The sequence below is a fragment of the Homo sapiens genome, chromosome 3, assembly GCF_000001405.40.
Source record: "Homo sapiens chromosome 3, GRCh38.p14 Primary Assembly".
Classification (NCBI taxonomy): Eukaryota; Metazoa; Chordata; class Mammalia; order Primates; family Hominidae; genus Homo; species Homo sapiens.
In genome coordinates, this window is record NC_000003.12 from 71,815,075 (window position 1) to 71,823,460 (window position 8,386).

An 8,386-nucleotide genomic window follows, 5' to 3' on the forward strand; every position below is an offset into this window, starting at 1 on the left:
TCAGCTTAAGAAAAAAAGACTTCGACAACACTTCTTAGCCCATCTTTCTTTGTAATATTTTAGCCTGTTGTCTTAGACAGTTGAAAATTACAGTATGATACAACAAAGCAGATGAGTTGATAAATGAACTTGACCATTCTTTGCAAAAAGTTAAAAGCACCATGTCAATTTAAAGTGTTGTTATTGCTGATAATTAAGGAGACAAATATCACCAGTTGAGGCTAAATTCAATCTGTTACCCAGTGGCACAGATTATAAAAATATTCCTTCAAAGCTCTTTTGAACTCTTAAATTTTAGAAACAGCTTTGCACATAAAAGGAAATTGTGAATGCTGGCTAATTTTGGTTTGCCCGATGGTTCTCGGACTGGTTTAAATGTCCTTGGCAAACCCTCAGATAAGCTTCATTCAATAGTCACAGTTATTTACTGGAAGAAGCCTGATTGGATTTGCTAATTCCATAATATGCACAGTGATAGGAAGGAGAGGTCTTGAAAGTCCATTTGTAAACAGCTGTTTCCCTCAACTAACGCAAAAGAGATTTATTTCCCTCAAAAACCACAATTGGTCAGGATACCTTGGCTAATTTCACTCTAAGATGTTAAAATTGCTCCCTTCTGCCAGGTAGCCCCTGTGGCAGAGGATTGGGTGGTCTCCATGTTTTTTGCTGTCTACTTAGCTTCTGTCTGCTGTATTGCAAATAGCTTTGCTGAAGCAGTTCAACAGTTCAGCCCAGGCAAGAATTACAATTAGAAGTGGTCAGCTGGGTGTGGTAGCTCATGCCTGTAATCCCAGCACTTTGGAAGGCCGAGGCGGGAGGATTGCTTGAGCCTCGGAGTTCGAGATCAGCCTGGGCAAAACAGTGAGACATGAGTGTCTACTTAAAAAAACAAACTGCCAGGTGTGGTTCTGTGCTTGTAGTCCTAGCTATGCAGGAGGCTGATGCCAAGGAGGTTGAGGCTGCAGTGAGCTATGATCATGCCACTGCACTTCAGCCTGGGTGACAGAGCGAGAGACCCTATCTCAAAAAAAAAAAAACAAAGAAAGAAAGAAAGAGAAAAAAAAGGGGGGACAAAATTTGTTTGGCAATTAGTATCTCTCAATAGCCTGAAAGTGTTTTTAAAATAGCCACATAAATATTTCTACATCACCTGGCATTGTGGGCATACTGAAGACAGATCACTCCATTCAAAACCTTTGAATACTCAAACAATGACAGCATTTACTTGTACTGGAGAAGTGAGGGAGGCACTTGAGTAATCCTGCCTCTGCTACACACTAGCTGAATGACCTGGGGCAAAGAAGTCACTGGCTTGTTTTAGGCTCAGTTTCTTTTTTGTAAAATGGTGGTTGGTAATAGGGATTTTCTGAAGAATAAGTAAGATCATATCTGAAGTGTTAAACAGTAAGTAGAAGGGGCTCAATAAATGCTAGCTGCCATTATCCCACAGTGTATTAGTCAGGGTTCTCCAGGGAATTGGAGCCAGCAGGATACGTGTACATAAATACCCGTGTGTGTGTGTGTGTGTGTGTGTGTGTGTGTGTGTGTGTGTGTGTTCATATAAGAGAGATATATTACTCTGTATCAGTAACTCACTCTTAGCTTTAAGTAACTCTTACTTACGGATGAATACAGAGTTACATATCTCTCTTATATGAGTATACACACATATATACACACATAGATGTGTATGACAGAGAGAAATAAAAAGGTGGGAGAGAGATTGAGATTTTAAAGCATTGGCTCATGCGATAGTGGAGGCTGGTAAATCCAACATCTGCAGGGTGGCCCAGCTGGCTGGAGGCCTTAGGGAAGAGTTGGTATTGCAGTTCAACTTTGAAGACAGTCTGCTGGCAGAATCCCCTCCTCCGCGGGGGAGGTCAGTCCTTTCTCTCAAAGCCTTCAACTTATTGGGTGAGGCCCACTCACATTATTGAGGGTAGTCTGCTTGACTCAAAGTCTATTGATGTAAATGTGAATCTCATTTAAAAATACCTTCATAGAAACACCTGCAATAAGGTTGGAGCAAATATCTGGGTACCGTGGGGTAGTGAAGCTGACACATGACCTTAATCATCACACAAAGTGACAAGAATCTAGTGCTTCGTTCACCTCCTTTGACAATGAAAAACAAAAACAACAACAACAAAACAGAGAATATAGTGCTTTGTGGATGCCAGACACTGTGCGAGACACTTTCCATATATTAATTCACCATCTCTTTCACCACAATCGTTTGAAGTAGGTGCTGTTATTATGCCCATTGTAAAAATAGAAAACTTAGCACCGAGAGGATGAATCATCTGCGCAAGGTCATACTGCCAGGGATTTGTGCTCCCGACTGCAACAATAAACTGTCAGCTCCATCAGGACAGAGCCCATACGTGTGGTACCTGCTGTGCCTAGCACAATGGATATCCTAACAGCTAATTCATTCAACCTCTTGGATTCCTTCAGACAATGAGATATTTTTTCTGAATCAATTAGCTGTTTTGTTTTTGGTTTTGTCTTGTAGATGAAGCCTCAATGTAAGATATACTTTGTGAGTCTGAAATACTCCCAGGCAATTAGTGACAATGTGCTGTGGGAATGAATTTGGATGGCATAGTGAATGAAGGCATGCATACTTCATTTAAGTGTGGATACAGGTTTTAAGGAGATAATGTAAGTTTCCAAGTTGACTTGTTCATGTCATGGAAATGGCCCAGGCAGGGAGAAAACCTGGAGTTACTATAAAATATGTATTAAGTACAAACATCCCATCAGTGTAAAATTTTTGATCATGCATTCCCAATATTCGTATATGTATTTATAAATTACATAATGGGCAGGGTGCAATGGCTCACACCTGTAATCCCAGCACTGGGGGAAGCTGAGGTGGGTGGATCACCTGAAGTCAAGAGTTTGAGACCAGCCTGGCCAACATGACAAAACCCTGTCTCTACTAAAAATACAAAAATTAGCCGGGCATGGTGGAGCATGCCTGTAGTCCCAGCTACCCAGGAGGCTGAGGTGGGAGGAACGCTTGAACCCAGAAGTCAGAGGTTGCAGAGAGCTGAGATCATGCCACTGCACTCCAGCCCGGGTGACACAGGGAGACCCTGTCTCAAATAAAAGATATAAATTATATAATGCACAATTGCAACGATGCATAAATGCTTTATAATGTATACACAAATAATGAATTTTGAAAAGGATGAGATAAGAAATAAATGTTAATTGAAATTCTACATTCTTTTTGATTTTCACACTTCAGTAATTCTTCTTGTGCCCTCCCCACTGTGGTTTTAATTGACTTAGAATCTTGTGTAATTGAAAGCTTTTCCTGCCATACAACTTATTGAGAAATGAATTGGCTTGCCCCATTGACACCAAGTATTCAATGATATAATGTAGCTCAGCAGAAGAGCACAGTGAGAATTAAATGAGATAATATGTGCGGCACTTGTTGTTATCACAAGAGATGCCTTATTGCAGAGTTGCTAAAGAGCGCAGACTCCAGAGGCTGACACCTGGGTGCAAATCCCAGCTTCACCATGTACTAGCTGTAATCTATTAAATGAGGTTTTTGTGGGGATTAAATGAATTAAAAACAATAAACAAGTAAAATTCTTATAACACCTGGCATGTACTAAGTAAGCACTATATAAACATTATTGGGTGCACCACAAGCACCCATAAATGTTAACTGTTCTTAATTGTAAAAACCAAAAATGTAATGACATACACTGAGGTCATTTGACCTTCATCCTTTTCGCTTTGTTCACCCCAGGGCTATACGATAAAAATGTTCTGAATGATGACTCTGAAGTACTGCCACAGGATTCCATTCATTTGAGTACCCGTCACAATTTTTGCTACATCTGAGTACCACCCGTACCATCATTAATATTTGTCTTTAAATCAAGTTGGGCTTAACACCAAGATCTATTTCATTATTTCCGAGAGCAGTAATATTGGTGAAATCATGTATTTGATGTGCTATAACATTTATTTTCCTAAAAATATATGGCAATAAACATATAGCCATTAAAACATTTCCCAAAGGAAATCTTACATTATACAATCCTTAAGTCGTGAATGTTTCAATTATATTTATTCTACTTAATGAGATACAAGGATATAAGAACACGTTTTCTATTTAACCAAGTTTCTTTCAGGACACCCTAGTTCCCTAGAAGTTTAATGAATTAGGATTCTAATGTTTTAATTTTTGATACTTGATCATTTTTATTAATTATTATTATTATTTTTGAGATGGAGTCTCGCTCTGTCACCCAGGCGGGAGTGCAGTGGCACGATCTCGGCTCACTGCAACTTCCACCTCCCGGGTTCAAGCGATTCTCCTGCCTCAGCCTCCCGAGTAGCTGGGATTACAGGCTCATGCCACCACGTCTGGCTAATTTTTGTATTTTTAGTAGAGAGAGGGTAGAGACGGGGTTTCACCATCTTGGCCAGGCTGGTCTTGAACTCCTGACCTTGTGATCCACCCACCTCAGCCTCCCAAAGTGCTGGGATGACAAGGCTGAGCCACTGCGCCCGGCCAATACTTGATCATTATTTTCTTTTGGATGAAAAGAATTTCAGTTTCTTTTACTTTTCCTCACTGGGCTATTTCATAATAATTAGATTTTATTTAAATAAATAAGACCTATATACAAAGTTTGATCATTGTTATCACAGGGGAACTACAAGTGTCAGGTTAAATTATATCAAATTAACCAGTTTCCCCATGCATGCATATGATAGACAGATTAGAGAAAAAGCTAACCTACATCTAGAATGCCAAAAGAGAAATTCTACCATATTCAAATTAAACTGATTCCTATCAAAAGTGTACAATTCCTACCTTGAAACAGATTGTAAATAATGTTCCAAGCAATTCTGAGCTAAAGTGAATCAGATTTTTTTTTTTTTAAGAGACAGGGTCTCGCTCTGTCACCCAGGCTGGAGTGCAGTGGTAAGATCATAGCTCACTGTAAGCTTGAACTCTTAGGCTTGAGCTGGGCCTCATGAAGAGCTGGGGCTATAGGCACATGCTACCAGGCCAGGCTATTTTTAAAGAAAATTCTAATTAGTTCAGCCACTGTGAAAAGTAGTTTGGAGATTTCTCAAAGAACTAAAAAGAGAACTACCATTCGACCCAGCAATCCCATTACTGGGTATATACCCAAAGGAAAACAAATTGTTCTACCAGAGACACCTGTACTTGTATGTTTGTTGCAGCGATATTCACAATAGCAAATATATGGAATGAATCTAGCTGTCCATCAATGGTGGATTGAATTTTAAAAATGTAGTACATATACACTAATGGAGTACTACATAGTCATAGAAAAGTACAAAATCACATCCTTTGCAGCAACACGGATGCAGCTGGAGGTCATTATCTTAAGTGAATTAATGCAGAAACAGAAAACCGAATATTGCATCTTCTCACTTATAAGTGGGAGCTAATCCTTGAGTACGCATAGACATAAAAATGGGAACAGTGGACGCTGGAGACTCCAAAAGGGGGGAGGGAGCAGGGAGTGAGGGGACAAGGGCTGAAAAACTTCCTACTGGGTACTATGCGGGGTAATGGGACCAATTGAAGCCCAAATCTCAGCATCACGCATATATACCCTTGTAGCAATATACCCTTGTAACAAACCTGCACATTTATCCCAATCCAAAATAAAAATTTAAACTTTTTTTTTTTTTTGGAAAGACAAGGTCTTAGTATTTTGCCCAGGCTAGTCCGAAGCTCCTGACCTCAAGCAATCCTCCTACCTCGGCCTCCCAAAATGCTGGGATTAAGTGTGTGTCACCACGCCCAGCCTGAATCAGACCTTTTGATCTTCCCATTGTTTGCCTTCATTCTTGACTCTGGCCATAGATCTGCTGGCTACTGACTCCTCTCATCTAAATTGGAGTCTCGAACAGATTTCTTTTAAATATGTTCAACCAATATGCTAACATACTGAAAGCTATTAGGTAATCAGATGCTTTTGCTTTCAAATAGGAAAGGTATCTCCTGGAAGATAATGTAAATGATTGAACAAACTTAAGTCATCTATATTATCACCATACTTTATCATCTTTATTGCAGATGCTGAAGTCTTTATTCCTGTAACTATTAGGGGAAAAATATCATCTGAGCCAGATCCATTCCTTTACTTGGTCTCGCTCTAAGCCTACGTGACAGGATGGAGAGTGATCTCATTTTAGAAAACATTGAATGAAATGGAGCATTCTTTAAATGAGACACATACACACAGTTCAGGGCTTCTCAGTCTCAGCACTATTGACATTTTGGCTGAATAATTGTTTGTTGTGGGTGCCTGTTCTGTGCGTTGCAGGATGTTTAGCAGCATCCTTGGCCTCTACCCACCAGATACAAATAGCACTGTCCTTCCCTCTCCTGCTAGCTGTGACAACCAAAAATGTCTCCAGACATTGCCAAAATCCTCCTCACCCCCACTGAGAACCACTGACACAAATCAAGAAGAAAGTTTTGCCATTGTATTTTCTGAATGCCTTTCCCGAGTTTAGCGGGGGGAAAGTCGATTTCTTTATGGGAATTTTTTTGTGTGGGGCTGTTTTACAAAATCCAAACTATAAATAACAGACGTAAGTGAGAAAAGATTGAACGTTTATTACCCAAGGCCATATAAATTCAATAATAAATTATGGCTTTCTCTAAAAATATGAGAAGTCTTTTCAAAGTCATTAGTTCTAATCATAAATGAATTTAGCAGCATTTCTTTAAATTTTGCCCTCTTGTAATGAACTCTGATACATTCATGGAACTGGTTGGTAAATAAAGAGATAGAAAGGTCTAATTTGCTGGTTCATTAAGCTAGCTTATTTCAAGACACCGTGCATATTGCTTTGAATTTCATATTTCTGAGCAGTGGAGACAATAGTAGTATCCATCTCTAATGTAGTGTGGCAGACAATTAGGAGCTCAAATGTAGTAAATCTCATTTCATCAGAGATATACACAGTGATTATTATTTTATTGCCAAATACTGTCAGCATTACATTTCTTCAACAGCTATTGTGATACCTGATTCACATGCTTAAATTTGCATTAAACACTGTGCTAACAACAATAATAATTTGGGCTGTGTTTTCTTACGTGACATTATTCTGTTCTTTTCCGTGTGTGTTCACCCAATGCTAGTTTCAAGGGTGCAAAGTTTTATGAAGACTTGATACAGGAAAGGCAGCTGTAGCTCTAAGGAAAGGCCATGGTTTTGGGGTCAAAAACAAGCACTAATGCTGCCCCTTTCAATTAAGGTAATCTTGGGAGGTTACTTCACTTAAAATAGAACTAGAAGAAAGAATCTTATTTTATTGTTTTACGTTGTCTTTGTCAGATTTTTAAAACTGCAAAAACATTGCTTTTTGAAACAAATGAAATTATACAACAAAGAAGCTGATTATTCACTCTTCCATCTCCCTTGACCATCCCTATAGCCTATTTCTCTTCAAGTAGGTAATACTAATGATTTAGTATATATCTACCTTTCATTAATCTTCCATGAAGCCCTGCAAGTAATTTTACCTAAATATAATCTTTCCTTTTTTAAGTAAAAAATTGAATTGATTTATACATATTTTTCTCTAACTTGCTTTTCTGAGTTTAGATCTAAGCCATTATTTTAAATAGTGGCATAGTATTTCATACTATGGGTATATAACATTTGTTCAACATTTCCCTCCTGATTGACCCCATGTTCTTTCCAGTCCCTGGGCACGCTACAAACAATGATGTAATCAATGTCATCAGGCCTACAGCGCTGGGGCTAGATTCTTTCCTGCAATTAGAAATGGGAAACAGGGACATTTCACCCAGTTGAATACCTCTGGGGCTCAGTTTCCGCATTTGCATTGTGAGAATCACATCTGTCCTACTTCCTTCACACATTGATACATGGATGGTTGGAGCCAGCAGATTAAAATAAAGTGATGGTTTGAGGATCAGAAGGGCCCTCCATAAAAACCCCACTCTAGCCAAGCTGCAGCTTTGGAAAGCTACCTGCTTTTCTCTGCTTTCACAATCTCAAATAATATTTGTACACTTGCTGTATGCTCTTCAGCTCTGGAACATTTTTTTCAGCAGTTAAAACCACTTTTTCAGTGGATAATTCACTATTTCAGTGATCGGTATTTAGTTTACAAAGAGTCGTGTCAGGTAATACTCCAAGGCAGCGCCTGACTTCTGAAAGCCAGAGTAGACGAAGCATGTGCATGTGAGTGAGTGTGTGTGTGTGCATGAGAGGATAAGTGTGTGTACGGGGGAGAGAGATAGAGTGCACTCAGTAAATTCACTCAGTGTGAAAGTCATCCAGTAACACGGTCACAAGCAAGAGCGAGCTCTGGAAACTGCCCATATGGT

At 39.3% G+C, this 8,386-nt stretch overlaps 3 annotated features.

Moving 5' to 3' along the window:
- Positions 347 to 919: an enhancer, noted in NCBI's record as "H3K4me1 hESC enhancer chr3:71864572-71865144 (GRCh37/hg19 assembly coordinates)". NCBI's record gives its function as "activates a minimal SCP1, AML or CMV promoter by ChIP-STARR-seq in naive H9 embryonic stem cells {active_cell/tissue: H9 hESC(naive)}" and the evidence as "EXISTENCE:reporter gene assay evidence [ECO:0000049][PMID:30033119]".
- Positions 920 to 1,492: an enhancer, noted in NCBI's record as "NANOG-H3K4me1 hESC enhancer chr3:71865145-71865717 (GRCh37/hg19 assembly coordinates)". NCBI's record gives its function as "activates a minimal SCP1, AML or CMV promoter by ChIP-STARR-seq in naive H9 embryonic stem cells {active_cell/tissue: H9 hESC(naive)}" and the evidence as "EXISTENCE:reporter gene assay evidence [ECO:0000049][PMID:30033119]".
- Positions 2,139 to 2,827: an enhancer, noted in NCBI's record as "OCT4-NANOG hESC enhancer chr3:71866364-71867052 (GRCh37/hg19 assembly coordinates)". NCBI's record gives its function as "activates a minimal SCP1, AML or CMV promoter by ChIP-STARR-seq in naive H9 embryonic stem cells {active_cell/tissue: H9 hESC(naive)}" and the evidence as "EXISTENCE:reporter gene assay evidence [ECO:0000049][PMID:30033119]".